The sequence below is a fragment of the Homo sapiens genome, chromosome 1, assembly GCF_000001405.40.
Source record: "Homo sapiens chromosome 1, GRCh38.p14 Primary Assembly".
Classification (NCBI taxonomy): domain Eukaryota; kingdom Metazoa; phylum Chordata; class Mammalia; order Primates; family Hominidae; genus Homo; species Homo sapiens.
In genome coordinates, this window is record NC_000001.11 from 51,266,245 (window position 1) to 51,284,276 (window position 18,032).

At 41.6% G+C, this 18,032-nt stretch overlaps 1 protein-coding gene across 1 annotated transcript in view; it reads left to right on the plus strand.

Annotated features, from left to right (window-relative positions):
• RNF11 (ring finger protein 11) overlaps positions 1–7,203 on the plus strand; it is a 37,175-nt gene extending 29,972 nt beyond the window's left edge. Inside the window, exons 2-3 of the mRNA NM_014372.5 lie at positions 3,712–3,881; positions 4,907–7,203. Of these exons, the coding sequence (NP_055187.1) occupies positions 3,712–3,881; positions 4,907–5,078 (342 nt within the window). The 3' untranslated portion in view covers positions 5,079–7,203. The remainder of the gene's footprint in view (positions 1–3,711; positions 3,882–4,906) is intronic.
• The last annotated feature ends 10,829 nt before the right edge of the window (positions 7,204–18,032 follow it).

Sequence of the window (18,032 nt, forward strand, 5' to 3'; positions counted from 1 at the left end):
GGTTTTGGACCTATTGAAGTTCCTGTGGGATGGGTAGGTGGAGTTTTGAAAGAGACAACAACCCAGGTATTTTCACTTGGGAGAATGTTGGGTGTAATTTATATCAAGTTTTCCTTTTTGGTTTTATTGTTATTTAATCCAAATCATTAGCAGTTTTTCTTTTTTTTTTCTTTTTGAGACAGCAGTTTTTCTTTTTCTTATTGTTATTTAATCCAAATCATTAGCAGTTTTTCTTTTTTCTTTTTCTTTCACTTTGTCACCCAGTCTGGAGTGTAGTGGTGTGATCTCGTCTCACTGTAGCTCAACCTCCTGGGCTCAAGCGATCCTGCTGCCTCAGTCCCCGAGGTAGCTGGGACTACAGGTGTACATCACCACTTCTGGCTAATTTTTGTATCTTTTATAGAGACGGGGTTTCACCATGTTGCCCAGGCTGGTCTCAAACTCCTGAGCTCAAGCTATCCGCCTGTCTTGGCCTTCCAAACTGCAAGGATTACAGGCGTGAGCCACTGTGCCAGGCGCATTAGCAATTTTTCATAGCATATCTACAAAGTTCTAATATGTATATAATGTATATTACAAGAACATAAGTGCTTTGATTTAGGTTATTCAGTTATATAATTATGTTGAGTCCCAACTGTGTGCCAGATACCGTGCTGAGTAGGTAGTAAACATTGGTAAGCAAAACAGACATAGCCCCTGCCCTTATCAGACTACCCACATAGCCCGGACACAGTGGCTCTCACCTGTAATCTCAGCACTTTGGGAGGCCAAGGCTAGAGGATCGCTTGAGGCCAGGAGTTTGGTCAGCCTGGTCAGCGAGACACTGTTTCTACCAAAACAAAAAAATTGCTGGGCATGGTGTTGTGTACCTGTAATCCCAGCTACTGGGGAGGCTGCAGTGGGAGGATTACTTGAGCCTAGAAGTTGGAGGTTGCAGTGAGATGTGTTTGTATACCTTTTGTCATTAGGTCCATATTTAGGCCCTGAAATAGGCTAATCAAAATATTTATTTATTTTTCATTTGTTTTCAGCTGGGGACGAAACACAGTAGCTTTGCAAATATAAAGTGGGAGCACAACCTAGCACTGGCGTTGGAGGTCCTCAAAACAGTCCCCAGGTTTGGTGATTCAATAGGAGGGCTCTTAGGACTTAGTATATAATCTTACTCACATCTATGATTTGTTACAGCAAAGAATCAAAGCAAAATCAGCTAAGGGGAAAGGTGCTTTGGTCTAAAGGGAACTAAGCACAAGCTTCCAAGAGTTATCTCCTAGTGGAGTCACACAGGACATGCTTAATTCCTTCAACATATATGAAAGGTTTTCTGCCAGAGAAGCTCATTTGGAGACTCAGTGCCCCAGGTACTGATTAGGCACCCACTGCCTAGCATATGACAAAATTCCTGATTCTCAGAGGGGAAGCAGGTGTTGAACATAAACCATATAGTGTTCGCAGATAGGGAATGGTGGGAACCACCCCCAAATCCATATCTTTTTTTGTTGTTAAGATGGAGTCTCTCTCTGTTGCCCAGGCTAGAGTACAGTGGCAAGATCTTGGCTCACTGCAACCTCTGCCTCCCGGGTTAAAGCAGTTCTCTTGCCTCAGCTTACTGAGTAGCTGGGATTACAGGCGTGCACCACCACGCCCAGCTAATTTTAGTATTTTTAGTAGAGATGGTGTTTTACCATGTTGGCCAGGCTGGTCTCGAACTCCTGACCTCAGGTGATACGCCTGCCTCGGCCTTTCAAAGTTCTGGGATTACACGCATGAGCTACCATGCCCAGCCATCACATCTTTTAAAATTGTTGTTTTTATACCCCTGTCTAATCTTCTACTCACTCAGTGTCTGTTAGCCAACAATTGAATCAGGATTCCATTTTGCTGCCTAGAAAATCAGTGGCTGTCTAGTTATGAAACAATTGATAACTCAGATATCAAGCCATTTTAAAACAAGTATCATGGGAATTAAAATTTAAAATTAGGCATGTGTGGTAAGAAGGGTGAGGCCACATTCATCTTTAAAATATCAGGAGGTCTTAGTCATTTCCTTTCCTCTATGGTTTTCTGAACCATGTAAACTGAAATTAGATTGTTCAATCATTTTAAATATCTAAAAGATATAGAGAGGGTTCCTTTGTTTTAACAAAAAAATACCAAAGGAGAAAATACACTCATAACGTGAATTAAAATATAGTTTTTATTTTCTTCTTTAATGTTTATTAATGTTTCCCCGTAAAGTAGAACTTTCCTTTTCTGTTCTGCTTTCTGTGTTCTCTACACGTATGTGAACCACAAGACTGAAGAAATCTAGCCTCTGAAAAACCCATAGTTGGAGTTTATTTTCTCTAAAACAATTTAGTTATTTTTGTTTGTTAGGTTCAAGGATTTAAGAGACCCTTTATATTATCTTAGTCTTAAACCAATTTGTTCCCAGTTTGCGTGTGGATGACAGCTCATCAAAACTGGTCAACTAGGACTGAGGCTAAGATTCAGGAAGGTAATTTAGACTGGAAATGGTAATTCAAGGGTTGAAGAACTCAGAGCTGGCAGAGATCACAACAGAGTCCAAGAGTTTGTAGTATTCAAAGAGAAGCCAGAAAGCCAGGACCAAAGCCAAGGACAGTAGCACTTAGCTTAAAGTCTGCAAAGCAGAGAATCATGATGGGGAGAATCATGACGTTGGGGAGATGTTAGAATAATTTACAAATATTGGCATTTACAAAGCTCTTAGTTATCTCATGATTATATCAACTCTTTAAAGTGGGTACTGTTATCTGCTTTATTCAAAGACATTAAGAGACTTGGTCCAAGCAATCACAGTAAGTAGCCGAGCTGAGACTGAAATCTTATAATTTAATTCTTCAGACTGAAAATCTCATCTTCTGAGATAGTAGTGTTTTTCAGACTGCTCTGTTGATTCTGAGGATTCTGCAAAGGTAACCAAGGTGAGGGCTTGGGGATGGGGAGCCTCATCCCTTCTAGGCCACACTCCATCCCAGCTTCATTCCATCAGAGTTGCTCAGTTTTAAATATTATTATAGGCCAGGCACCATGGCTCAACCCTGTGGCCCCACTACTCAGGAGGCTGAGGTTGGAGGATTGCTTGAGCCCAGGGGGTTGAGTTTACAGTAAGTTGTGTTTGTGCCACTGCACTTAAGCCTGGGCAACAGAGGGAGACCCTATCTCAAAAAAAGGTGGGGGTTATACACACGATTCCTTTGAATTGTTTTGTTGTGTAAAAAATCAGTTGGATTAGGAGCAGCAGAATTCTAATTTCAGTATTGTCAATTAGTGACTGTAGGCAAGCTTGGTCCTATGAAATGGGAAAGTTAGTCTTAGATAACTTTTAGATTTATTTTTGCCATAGTCCAGTCCATTTAAAAAGTTTTAAAAATTATTTTTAGAGATGAGGTCTTGCTATGTTGTCCAGGCTGGTCTCTTATCATGTGGAAATAGTTCATTTAACATTCCATGCCAGTTCAGTGAAGTCTGTGTTTATATCCTTTAGGCAGAATGAGAATGTTTTGGTGTGTGTATGTTTTATTCTAGTAGCTGAAGTTAAGGCAGGGTGAAACACAGTCATACAGCCAAACACTAGCCCAGCTTCCTACCCCTCCCAGGGCTCCCTTTCCCTTCTATCTCTGACCAAAAAATAAGCCCTCGAAAGGTTTTTAAAAAATAATCTTTTTCCTCTATATTTTAATATTTTAGGAACAAGTTCCAGTTCCAGTCTACCACCCAACACCTAGCCAGACTCGGCTAGCAACTCAGCTGACTGAAGAGGAACAAATTAGGATAGCTCAAAGAATAGGTCTTATACAACATCTGCCTAAAGGAGTTTATGACCCTGGAAGAGATGGATCAGAAAAAAAGATCCGGGAGTAAGTTTTAATTAATTTGTACATTTCAAAGTTTTATTTTCAGATTGCTTTTGAAAAATTTGCCTTTTCTCCTGCACTTTAGAAAGTCAGACATTTAATATATTGAAACACTTCGCTTAATGCAAGAGAATGTTTAATTTTTTTTCATAGCTCTATTACTGGCTACTAGCAAGAGAATGTTATGTAGTAATTAAGAATTTTCACAGGCCGAGCACAGTGGCTTATGCCTGTAATCCCAGCACTTTGGGAGGCTGAGGTCGGGGGATCACTTGAGGCCAGGAGTTCGAGACCAACCTGGCCAACATGGTGAAACCTCATCTCTACTGAAAATACGAAAATTAGCCAGGCATGGTGGCACGCGCCTGTAATCCCAACCACTTGGGAGGCTGAGGTGGGAGAATCACTTGAAACTCTGTCTCAAAAAGTAAAATAAAGTAAAATAAGAGAAAGTTAGTGTTAATGAAGAGAGCTTTAACTTACAGCAACCCAGTAAGTAGGCTGAAGTTAGTGTTTCTGTTTTTACAGTTATTAAAATGAAAATTATCTTACTCTAGGATTACTCTAAATAGCACAAGGAAACAAAGTTGCCCGAAGTTAGTGTTTCTGTTTTACAGTTACTAAAATGAAAATTGTCTTAGTCCAGGATTACACTAAATAGTGCAAGAAAACAAAGTTGATCTAACTGATGCTTTTCTACCTAAAATAATCCCATTCTCCTTCAGGTATCTGCTATAATATGTAGCTGTTTACAAGCACAGCAGTAGATTTGATGCATATGTAATCCATTTCTCTTTGCTCTGTTGATTGCTCCTAAGTCCTGCAAATTCTCAGGGGATTGAAATAAGAGACTGTGGACAGATCAACATTAGGAAAAAATTCAGTTTGCATGCTTTGGCAATAAGATGACAGGCAAAGCATTCTGATGTGTTACTCAGATTAACACTGTCTTTAATGGGATTTAAAGAGTTTTCTGAATAGGACACTTCTGAAAATGCCTTCTGATTTCTCTCCATTGCTCTCAACAGGTGTGTGATCTGTATGATGGACTTTGTTTATGGGGACCCAATTCGATTTCTGCCGTGCATGCACATCTATCACCTGGACTGTATAGATGACTGGTTGATGAGATCCTTCACGTGCCCCTCCTGCATGGAGCCAGTTGATGCAGCACTGCTTTCATCCTATGAGACTAATTGAGCCAGGGTCTCTTATCTGACTTCAAGTGAACCACCATTTTGGTGGTTTTGATCTTTTGTCACTGAGCCCAAAGAGCCAGGGATTAGGAATTAAGATCGTGCACAAAAGTTTCCTTAAAATTCCTGGATGGCTGCAGATGTTGGGGGAAAAAGTACGTGATATTTTAGAAACTTAGTGGGAAAAGTAGGATGGTATTTTTATGTAAAGCCTTGACCCAATGTTTAAAAATATAATTGTATTTAGATCTTGTTATTGCTCCAGTACATAGGAATTGTGTAAAGTGTTAACAGCAGCTGTATTTGTTTAAATTGTGTGTATTGAAGATTAGGAAAAAGATAGTAGTTATTTTTCCTAAATGAAATAACTTTCTTCTCTTCCCCTTCCCCACCCGAATTCTTTTCTGAAGTTGCTGGCATTTGGGTCAAGGTTTTATTAAAAGCTACATTTTATAACACTGGCACACACAAAAAAGTAGTTTTAAGCTTGTTTGCACAGTTCTTTTTTTCCATTGGAAATGGAATTCATTGCCTTAGGTCTTTTTAAATAGTGTATTATTATCGTTGGGGCTGGCTCTATGCTTGAAAACCAGTTTATTTATAACCTGTTATAAGTGCTATATTCTGTTTGCAGTTAGGAAATGCAGAATTCAAAGTGATCTCCTAGCTTGTAAGCAAACTGAGATGCACTATCCCTTTTCTATAAAAAATAAGTTAATGTGTCAAGAAACCAACTCTATTAAGGTGGGGTTTAATATTACCCTTTCCTATGTGTTTTATCTAATTATTTTGGTTGTTAATATGGTGATAATGGAAAGTCAAGTTAAATTTTAAATATTAAGAATTCTGATTTATTGAGATTGAATTATGCCACCACGTTTATGTAAAAATGAAGGTGGCACCGTGGTGAGACCTAATGAGAAATAGTTACTCAGTTGTAAAAATTTTGATTTATTCTCTTTCTTCTGACCTCCTTGCCTCTTGTCTTGAACCATAGCAAAAGGATACTGCATCTCTCATTACTGTAGTGCTGAGGTTATTGAAGTTATACAAAACACATCTCAGTCTCTGTTTCTTGGAAAGGTATCTATTACATCCTGCTAGCTGACTGACAAAACTAAGCAGGGAGAATAAAGATAATTGTATTTTATGTTTTGCACACAAACGCAGAATTTGTATAACCATATGACTTCATAGTTGTGATCTCAAAAAAGAAGGAATTTCTCCTTTGTTTCTTGCAGTTAATGTAAGAATACTTTAAATCTCTAAGCTTCTGAAGTGTTAGAGGTAGAGATGGTCTAGTAAAGATGTAGTAGTAATGTTTTATCCATTTAGCATGTGTTTATTTTTTCATATGTACTCAAAGGTGACTTATTGGTTCACCTCAGTGATATTACAGCTAAAAAAATCATTCATTAGCAAAAGGAAAAGTGGTCTCAACCTAACATCAGAAGTGTTTCTTATTATTATTTTATATTGAGTTGAATATTGAACTCTAACAGTTTTCTACATACAAAACACAGTGTCATGAAGGTTATTCATAATTGCATTATAGAGGAATGTAGTATGTCATAAGTACTTTGTAAAGATTTGACATTCAACTGTAGTATCCATATGTTGCTTAAATTTCCTTATGAGCCCCATGATGGAAAGACTTAAAGATGAATTTGAGAAAAATTGAAAGAAATTAGATTATCAGGTTCTGTTAAATTGTTACATGTATCTTGCTTAAATTTCTGTTTATTAATTTATATCCACCCAAGTACATAAAGCAAATTTGGAGGAAACAACTGAAGTTGTGCAATATTTTCTGATAATTGCTTTTTTTATTCTTGTGTTTTCTACTTAAACATAATGTCTGTGTCATCAAGTATTATAGTCAGACTTTTCTTTTTTTCTAGATTGTTAAAATTGGCAAATGAACTTTTTTAAAAATCATCTTCCATGTTGCAGTTAGTCTTTCTTTTCATTACAAGTCTTTCACAGAAGTTTGGTGGTAATATTGAAAGAACTAGCATTGGGCAGAATGTGTCTTTTTTAGGCACTTTATATTCTCAACATACAATGTTAAGAACCATCAATTTTGACTTTTACTAAGTTGTTAAATAAAGTTATAATACAGCTGTGAAGGGCTAAAGTTAGAGTTGATTACATAAGTAAGTATTCCCCATATAATCTTTTAAAAAGTTGTGTATGATTATTTTAAAATCTCTCTCTCTATATATACCTGTGGGAAGTATTTTTTATTGTTTGGCATTTAATATCATTTAATCATATACTTAGGCTTGATAGCACCAAAGTTTCTAAAACCAAACAATAGCTATAATCTCTTGATTTAGATATGGGCAAGATATGTCCAAGCTTGGCTGTGGGATTTGAAATTTCTAAAAAGCCTAACCAGGAAGAAACAAAAGAATCTTATCCTTTTGAGTGTAAAACCTAACAAGTTGAAATACTTTCAGATATTTGTAGTTTACCTAACACAAACTTAAAAAATTCTGTGAGTTTCTTGATAGGGAATCTCCTCAGTCGGTACTAGAAGACTCGCCCCCTGCTATTGGTGTTTATCATGTGATATAAAACAGTATGATTTCATGCAATAGTAAGCATTGAGATAACAGATCCCCTGCATACAAATCTTCATAAAGAAGCATTCATTTTTAAAAAGGAGCAACACTTAATAAAGTACAGTAATCCCCCTTATCCACGGTTTCTGCCATTTCACATACCCACACACTATGGTGCAAAAAGGTATTTTGAGAGTGAGATACCACAGTTACATAATTTTTTTTTTTTTGAGATGGAGTTTCGCTCTTGTTGCCCAGGCTGGAGTGCAATGGCGCAATCTCGGCTCACTGCAACCTCTGTCTCCTGGGTTCAAGCAATTATCCCGCCTCAGCCTCCCGAGTAGCTGGGATTACAGGCGTGTGCCACCATGCCCGGCTAATTTTGTATTTTTAGTAGAGACGGGGTTTCTCCGTGTTGGTCAGGCTGGTCTTGAACTCCTGACCTCACGTGATCCACCTGTCTCGGCCTCCCAAAGTGCTGGGATTATAGGCGTGGGCCACTGCGCCTGGCCTCACGTGACTTTTATTACAATCTATAACAACTTTTGTAAATACAGTTTTTAAAAAACACTTAATCTTGGCCGGGCCTGGTGGCTCACACCTGTAATCCCAGCACTTCGGGAGGCCAAGGCAGTTGGATCACTTGAGGTCAGGAGTTTGAGACCAGCCTGGCCAACATGGTGAACCCCGTCTCTACTAAAAATACAAAATTAGCCAGGCATGGTGGTGCACACTTGTAATCCCAACTACTTGGGAGCCTGAGGCAGGAGAGTCACTTGAACCTGCAAGGCGGAGGTTGCAGTGAGCCGAGATCGCACCACCGCACTCCAGCCTGGATAACAGAGTGAGACTCCTCTGCCTCAAAAAAAAAAAAAGAAAAAGACAAAAACTTACTGTTTTACCAGTGTTGTTCCTAATCTCTTACTGTGCCTGATTTACAAATTAAACTTTAGCATAGGTATGTATGTGTAGGTACGTATGTTGTACTATCCACAGTTTGAGATATGCAGTGGGGTTCTTGGAGAGTATACCCCATGGATAGAGTGGGTGATACTGTAGTCAAAAGGAGAACTACCTAAGGTCTTGAGACTGGAGAAGTGGTAAACGAGAGAAAGTATGTTTCTTCAGCATAAGTCACAAAAATAGTTGGTGGCTATCTGTGCTTACAAAAGCAGTGGGTAGCAGTCATGGAGTCAACTGATGAAACTTGCGTGTAAATGCATCTTAGTGTAATAACCTCACCTAATTTTTTAAGCCTTAATTTTAAAATTTGTGGACACAAGAAAAGTTGGATTTTAGGTTAATATCTCTTCAAGTAATGTTAAATTTACCTATCTGAATTTAAATAAACACTTCTATGTTTTTTAATTTTTATTATATTTCTATTTTTAAAATATTTTTTCTTTTAAATATCAACTGCTCTTTTACTGGGCGGGAAGAGATAGAAGACGATTTGACCCGTCCTTCTGTACTTTTTTTTTTGAGACGGACTTTCTCTATCTCCCAGGCTGTAGTGCAGTGGTGTGATCATGGCTCACTCGACTCACTCATTTTGTCTCTTTAAGCCACATTTTCCTCACCATGGGAGTGTTGGTAGATCAGTAGTTCTCTGAGGCCAGGACAACCAGAGCACAATTACCTAGGGCTCTGGATGTTTATTAGTAATGGAGACCCCTATCATATCAGAGTGAGAGAGGAGAAACAGAACTTTTTGAGACAGAGTCTCACTCTATCTCCCAGGCTGGAGGGCAGTGGCACAACTGCTTCCACCTCCCAGGCTCAAGCGACCTTCCCAAGGAGCTGAGACTACAGGTACATGCTACCACACCTGGCTAATTTTTGTATTTTTTTGTAGAGATGAGTTTTTGGCATGTTGCCCAGGCTGGTCTCGAACTCCTGGGCTCCAATGATCCTCCCACCTCAGCCTCCCAAAGTACTGGGGTTACAGGTATGGGTCACTATACCTGGCCATCTATCATTTGTAACAGGTTCTCCAAGTGATTCTGATGCACTAGTAGGTTTTGGAACCATTGGTAGATGATCCCTTCCCAAACTTGTGAAGTACAGGTTTGGTTCTTTTTTTGTTTCCTGAGAAATTAGAAGCAGTATTGGGCACTTGTTGGTTATTCAGAGATTGATTGTCCAGGCACAATTATCTAGACTTTCTGCTCTTCATTTGTCCTTTTGCTATTTCCTTGCTCTTTAGCATAGATACAGAGCATCCAGATAAGTAAGTCCCTTTACAACCTATTTCCTGATTTTACAAGCTTCTTCCATCAGAGGCACCAGTGAATTATAAAAAGGGTTTGAGATTTATTTGCACATTTTAATTGTCCACATTGTTTGCTTTATCACACTGAGCACTTAGGCACAAGCTTTTGTTTTGGAGACAGGGTCTCACTGTGTCCCCCAAGCTGTAGTGCAGTGGTTTGATCATGGCTCACCGTAAGTTCAGACTCCTGCGCTCAAGTGATTTTTCCCACATCAGCCTCTCGAGTAGCTGGGATTGACTGCAGGTGCGCTCAACCACGTCCAGCTAATGTTTTGTTTTTTTGTAGAGACTGAGTCTCACTATGTTGCCCAGGCTGGCCTGAAACTCCTGGCCTCAAGAGCTTCTCCTGCCTCAGCCTCCCAACGTGCTGGGATTATAGGCCTGAGTCACTGCTCCCAGCCTGGCACTGCCTTAGGACAGTAGCTGGATGCATCTGATTAATGTTATTAACTGACTAAAGCCATTTATTGTTTCTTCACATACAGTTTTTTAATAAAAGTATGGTCGAGATTACCTTTTCATTACATTTCTGTTTCTTGAGAAAAATTACTGTTCACTGGCACATTTAGTCATCTTCAGGTGCTTCCCATAGAAAGTTTGTTTTTCTCTTTGAATGAAGGAGTGTTAGCAATAGGCACATGTTTTAGGCATCTAAAACTGATGGTGATGAAAGGAGCAGCGCCTATTTGCTTTGAACCCTTCCTCTAATATTTGTGCTTGTGGGCTCCACATCTCTTAGCACTGAGAAAAAGAAGTTGTTGAGGAAGATACTAAGGGGTCTCCCTAAGTGTCTTGTCATGGCAGTGTGTACTCTGAATGCCTGTGAGAAGATTTGGTTGGCTATGCAAAAAAAGTTCAACTTCTCACTGGAGGCCACCACAGTAGCTAATCTGGTCAGTTAGTACCCAAAAGCAAGTTTTAAGCATTGTGTGTGAATTGAGAAGCCTGGACTACTATACTATCAGAAAGACACTGAGATTGGCTTCCAGCATTATCCAAATGAGGTGCAGGAATAGGCTACATTCTGCCAACCCCAGAATTAGAGCCAGGCCTTCAGCTTTGAAACAATGCAGAATGATGATCCTCTATGCAAAAGCTTAGCTGAACTGGGTAAACACATTATAAAAGTTAACAGCTACAACTTCACAGTGTGCAAAGTGTGGGAAGAGAAGAGGTTTGGTCTTCGTGCTGCTTGCTTACACTCATCACTATCTGTAGTGTTACCCTGACACGAGGAAGAATAATTCATAGGCATTCTTTTTTTTTTTTTTTTTTTTTGAGACAGAGTTTAGCTCTTGTTGCCCAGGCTGGAGTGCAATGGCATGATCTCGACTCACCGCAACCTCCGCCTCCCAGGTTCAAGCAATTCTCCTGCCTCAGCCTCCCGAGTAGCTGGGATTACAGGCATGCACCACCATGCCTGGCTAATTTTCTATTTTAGTAGAGACGGGGTTTCTCCATGTTGAGGCTGGTCTCGAACTCCTGACCTCCAGGTGATCCGCCTGCCTCGGCCTCCCAAAGTGCTGGGATTACAGGCGTGAGCAACCGCGCCCGGCCGGCATTCTTATTTCTGGTTGTGAGACAGGTGCTGTTCTAGTAAGGCATTTTCAGATGATGGGCTGTTTTTGCAAGTCCTGCTCTCAGGGCTCTTCCTTAAACTTTGAGTTAATGGCTTTGAAGATATACTTGAAGTAAGAAATCCTGGTCCTGGGCATGGATTTTAATAAACTGGATTTCTGATTTTTTCTGAAGAGCAAAGAACATGAAATACCTACTCATATTGAGTCTTAGCACCTAATTATAACTTAGCATATTGACAGCTTTTTTTTTTTGGACATAGCCTTGCTCTGTTGCCCAGGCTGGAGTGCAGCGGTGCAATCTTGGCTCACTGTAACCTCTGCCTCCTGGGTTCAAGTGATTCTCATGCCTCAGCCTCCTGAGTAGCTGGGACTACAGGGGCACATCACCATGCTCAGTTAAATTTTGTATTTTTAGTAGAGATGGAGTTTCACCGTGCTGCCCAGGGTGATTTCGAACTCCTGAGCTGAGGCAATCTGCCCGCCTCAGCCTCCCAAAGTGCTAGGATTACAGGTGTGAGCCACTGCGCCTGGCCAAGATGCAGCATTTTTATGGTTTAGACAAACCAGAAGCAATTGGTGCTGGAGACTAACTTCCATGTTTAACCCTATATAATCCATTCTTCACACAGCAGTTAAATTAAGGTGAATAAATAAATTGATGTCATTTCCCTACTTAAAACTTTAATAGGCCGGGCGTGGTGGCTCACGCCTGTAATCCCAGCACTTTGGGAGGCCGAGGCGGGCGGATCACAAGGTCAGGAGATCAAGACCATCCTGGCCAACATGATGAAACCCCGTCTCTATTGAAAGTACAAAAATTAGCTGGGCGTAGTGGCGCACACCTGTAATCCCAGCTACTTGGGAGGCTGAGGCAGGAGAATCGCTTGAACCCGGGAGGCAGAGGTTGCAGTGAGCCGGGATTGTGCCACTACACTCCAGCCTGGTGACAGAGTGGGACTCCATCTCAAAAAAAACTTTAATAGCTTCCTGTAATGCGGAGCATAAAACTCAAACTCCTTAACAGGGATGAGTTGGTTTTCTGCCTTTTCATTTGAATCAACCATTTAGCCCCATGGGCCGTCTGTGTGCCTTCTAAAATGGCAAGTTCTTTCCTGTCTCAAGTCTTTTTGTGCTATTCTGCCCTGCAGCTCTCTTCTCCACATTGTTCAGATAGCTGACTTCTTATCCTCTAGACCAGATACATCCCACTTACAAGCATGAATTAGGAATTTTGTCCTCATGGAACATCATAGAATGTACTTGCACAAACCTAGATGGTATTGTTGCTCCTAGGCTACAGACCTGGCCAGCGTGTTACTGTGCTGAATATCCTGGGCAATTGTAACACAGTGCTTGTATCTGTGCATCTAAACATAGAAAACTGTAAAAGATAAAACAGTATACCTGTAGTTACCATGAAGGGAGCTTGCAGGGCTGGAGGTTGCTCTGGGTGAATCAGTGAGTGAGTGGTGCACGAATGTGAAGCCCTTAAGACATTACTGTACACTACTGTAGACTTTATAAACGCCACACCTGGGCCACATTGTTTATGATTTAAAATATTCTTTTTTCAATAATTAACAGCTTACTGTACTTTTATAAACTTTCTAAATTTTTTAACTTTTAAACTTTTGTAATATGTACCATATATAATTGTATGTGCTATAATTGTATACAACTGGGCCGGGCGTGGTGGCTCACGCCTGTAATCCCAGCACTTTGGGTGGCCAAGGCAGGCAGATCACCTGAGGTTGGGAGTTCAAGACCAGCATAGCCAACATGGTGAAACCCTGTCTCTACTAAAAATGCAAAAATTAGCTGGGCATGGTGGCTCATGCCTGTAATAGCTACTCGGGAAGCAGAGGCGGGAGATCGCTTGAACTCAGGAGGTGAAGGTTGCAATGATCTGGAGTGCCGAGATCATGCCACTGCACTCCAGCCTGGACGACAAGAGCGGAAGTCCGTCTCAAAAATTTTTTTTTGATGATTGGCAGTGCAGTAGGTGTGTTTACACCAACATCACCACAAACGTGAGTAATGTGTTGCCCTACAAACTTACCATGGCTATATCACTAGGGCATAGGAATTTTTCTTTTCTTTTTTTTTTGAGACAGACTTTCGCTCTTGTCCAGGCTGGAGTGCAATGGTGCAATCTCGGCTCACCGCAACCTCTGCCTCTGGGTTCAAGGGATTCTCCTGCCTCAGCCTCCCAAGTAGCTGGGATTACAGGCATGTGCCACCACATCCGGCTAATATTGTATTTTTAGTAGAGACAGGGTTTCTCCATGTTGGTCAGGCTGGTCTCGAACTCCCGACCTCAGGTGATCCGCCCACCTTGGCCTCCCAAAGTGCTGGGTTTACAGGCGTGAGCCACTGCACCTGGCAGGAATTTTTCAACTCCATCATAATCTTATGAACCCACCGTCATATATATGGTCTGTGATTGACTGAAATATCGTTATGTGGCAGATGAGTGTATTTACTCCATGGCTCTAATTCTTTGTTAACTCCTATGACTTCACTTTCAGAACAAGCTCCGTGAGAGCAGGACAGTAGGTGTTCAACAGATATGTATTAAATGAAGGGAAGGAGAAAATGGGGAAAAAGAGGTCCTTAGAAATCCAAGCTAGCTAACATCTCAAGGAGTTTCCCGTTGCAAAATAGGGATCTTATAAAGAAGAGTTTGGAGGGTGGCCAGGAGAAGGGCAACAAAGGGAAAGCTCTCCTTGAAGGTGCAGCTTGCTTCTTTCTTCCTTTCTTTCTCTTTCTCTTCTTTCTTTTTCTTTCTTTCTTTCTTTCTTCTCTGTTTCTTTCTTTTCTTTTTCTTTCTCTTCTTTATTTTCTTCTTTCTCTTTAATTCTCTCTCTCTCTCTCTCTCATATTTGAGACAGAGACTCACTGTGTCATCCAGGTTGGAGTGCAGTGGTGCAATCTTGGCTCACTGCAACCTCTACCTCCCAGGCTCATGCAATCCTACCTCAGCCTGCCAAGTAGCTGGGACCACAGGCGCATGCTACCACGCCTGGCTGATTTTGTATGTGTGTGTGTTTTTTGGTAGAGATGGAGTTTTGCCGTGTTGCCCAGGCTGGTCTCAAACTGGGCTCAAGCTATCCACCAGTTTCAGCTTCCCAAAATGCTGGCCTGAACATGCAGCTTTCTGATAAGCCTTGTCTCTAACCAGTACACCCACTGTTCTCATCCTCCCCTGTTCTTGGGAATGGGGTAAGTCATTCTTCCTGTATATCAACTTTTGAAAGAAAGGACATAATAGTGGATTTATGGTGTTTTTGTTTGTCAAATACACCGCCTTCCCTTTTAGTAATACCCCCACTGAGCATATGTCTGAAGGTAGGCCAATTGTGGTACCTCACTGCCATTTTAGGGCAGTGGGTCTCGAACTTCAGTGTGCATCAGATTCATCGGCAGTTCTTTTTTTTTTTGAGACACAGTCTCCCTCTGTTGTCCAGGCTGGAGTGCAGTGGCGCAATCTCGGTTCACTGCAACCTCCACCCTCTCAGGCTCAAGCAATTCTCATGCCTCAGCCTCCCAAGTAGCTGGGATTACAGGGATGCACCACCACATTCGGCTAATTTTTGTATTTTTAGTAGAAACGGGTTTCACCATGTTGGCTAGGCTAGTATCGAACTCCTGACCTCAAGTGATCCAGCCGCCTCGGCCTCCCAAAGTGCTGGGATTACAGGCATGAGCCACTGCACCCGGCCATCTACAGGTCTTTTAAAACTCAGACTGTGGCAGGGCATGGTGGCTCATGTCACCTCAGGATCACCTGAGGTCAGGAGATCAAGACCAGCCTGACCAACATGGTGAAACCACATCTCTACTAAATTAGCCAGGCGTGGTGGCACGTGCCTGTAATCTCAGATACTTGGGAAGCTGAGACAGGAGAATTGCTTGAAGCCGGGAGGCAGAGGTTGCAGTGAGCCAAGATAACACCACTGCACTCCAGCCTGGATGAGAGAGGGAGACTGTGTCTCAAAAAAACAAAAACAAAAACAAAACAAAAAAAAAACCTCAGATTTCAGGGCCTCAAGCCTACAGTTTTTAGGTCAAGGTGGGATAGAATTTGTATGTCTAACAAGTTCCCAGGGGATGCTAATGCTGATCAGGGACCACACTTTGAGGAGCACTTGCCTAAGGGATGGACATTTGAGCCAAGCCAGACTAATTGTCCTTATCTGGTATTGTTCATACTGGAATTAGGAAAAGCAGCCCTTGGCTTCACTGGCCATATGCCATAAGGACATGAGACCTAAAGTGCCATGTACTCCTGCCATGCAGAGAAGCCAGATCAAAAGAATCTAACACAGGGGCAAAAGCCAAGAGATAAAGAAAGCTTAATTGTGGCACTAGCGCCCCCGATTCAGTCATCCGTCAGGCCAAATCCACCACTGCCTTCGCACAGTAGAAGTAAGCCAATAAATTTACCTGAATATGGTATACTCGGGGCCATACTAGGCTATTTATTTACATGCTTGCTCTTTATCCTCAACAACCCTTGTAAAGCAGTTGGCATTAAACCCCATTTTGCCTAAGAGTAAACTGATTCTCTAAATAGGGTGAAGTAGTTTGATTAAGTTGAATATACTGTGCTTTTATCCACTACCCCATGTAATTAATCGAACTTAAAAGTTGAGTAGGCCGGGCGTGGTGGCTCAGGCCTGTAATCCCAGCACTCTGAGAGGCTGAGGTGGGAAGATCACCTGAGGTTGGGAGTTTGAGATCAGCCTGACCGACATGGAGAAACCCCGTCTCTGCTAAAAATACAAAAGTAGCCGGGGGTGGTGGCACATGCCTATAATCCCAGCTACTCGGGAGGCTGAGGCAGGAAAATCACCTGAACCCTGGAGGCAGAGAGGTTGCGGTGAGCCGAGATCACGGCATTGCACTCCAGCCTGGGCAACAAGAGCGAAACTCAGTCTCAAAAAAAAAAAAAAAAAAAAAAACAAAGGCTGGATATTTTTAGTAAACCAGGCTTTCTCATACTGTGAATTTGCTCACAACCTCTTTTCCAGAGAACTGTAGGAAGTCATCTCAGTACCAGGAGGACAAAGCTGTGGCCCGTGGGCCACTTTGACCCACAAATGTGATGTGCTTAGCCAAGCACTCATAAGTGCTTAAACTATAAAACAGTTTTTAGTGCCTTTGGCATCATATGCTTCCCAGTTTGCCAGTGATCCTCTTTCTTATTGTCTTATACCAAGCCCCTTCTAGCACATGACTTGCTATGCATCAAGCCTCAGTGCAGGCTTCACTTCCCATCTCTGGAGTAGTTGACTGGAACTCTACCTGAGTGGGGATTGGATCATGCCTTTTCCTCCATCATCCCTCGATGATTTTCTGAGCAAATACTGTTGTTTAAGGATTGCTTTTCTTTTGGCTTTTTGCAAGTTAGGCCCTCTCCCTACTTCATGATGCCAAGTGCCAAAGGGAGCCATGCCACAAAGACATGCTCCATGTGTTTGCAGCCAAGCATCTCCAGCGGTTGAGCTATTAGTCAGTACTTCTTCCATTTTCACAGTGGCCCAAGAGTCAGTATAAGCTGGGTCTAACTTTACACAGGATTTTACAGCTTGACCAACAGTGTAGCAAAGTACAGGCTTTAGAGTTCAGCAGCCTGTCTTCAAATCTTACTGCTGCATAATCGTTGTGTGATCTTAGGCAACTTATTTACCTGTGCCTCAGTTTTGCCATCTGCAAAATGACAATGGCCCCACTTCATAGGATTATGTAAATATTATGAGGATTAAATAAATGTAAAGTACTTAGAATAGCAACTGGCACATAATGAGTATTTAATAAATACTAGCTTTTATTCTTTTCCCCAGAGCATATTGGTGTCTGATGTTCTGGAGTGTTTAATGTGGAGGAAGAAAAACAAACCTGATCTAGTCATTTGTGAGACATTAGCTGTGATGTCTCTGATTAAACATCCACTTTTTTTTCTTTTTTAGACAGAGTCTCGCTCTGTCACCCAGGCTGGAGTGCAGAGGCGCGATCTCGGCTCACTGCAAGCTCCACCAACCGGGTTCAAGCAATTCTGCCTCAGCCTCCTGAGTAGCAGGGACTACAGGTGCCTGCCACCACGCCCACTTAATTTTTGTATTTGTAGTAGAGACCGAGTTTCACCATGTTGGCCAGGATGGTCTCAATCTCCTGACCTTGTGATCCACCTGCCTCGGCGTCCCAAAGTGCTGGGATTACAGGCGTGAACCACCACGCCCAGCCAAACATGAACTTTTAACAGTCCATAGAGACCTTCAATAGTTCATTCTATGTCTTCCCAAAGGGCTCTATTCTTATTTTGTCACTTAACAGTTGACTTTATACAGTGGAAGCAGTCATAGATTACTCATTTAGAGATGGAGTTTTCGAGTCCCCAAATGAGGTTTCTTGTTTGTGGACCTAGCCTATTAATCAGTAATGAACTTTGCACTGGAATTCAAAGGAGCCGTGCTAACCCGAGCAGAAGGCACTTTCCGACCTTGGAAGGCTGCATCTGAGGGTGGGCGTGAGAAGTT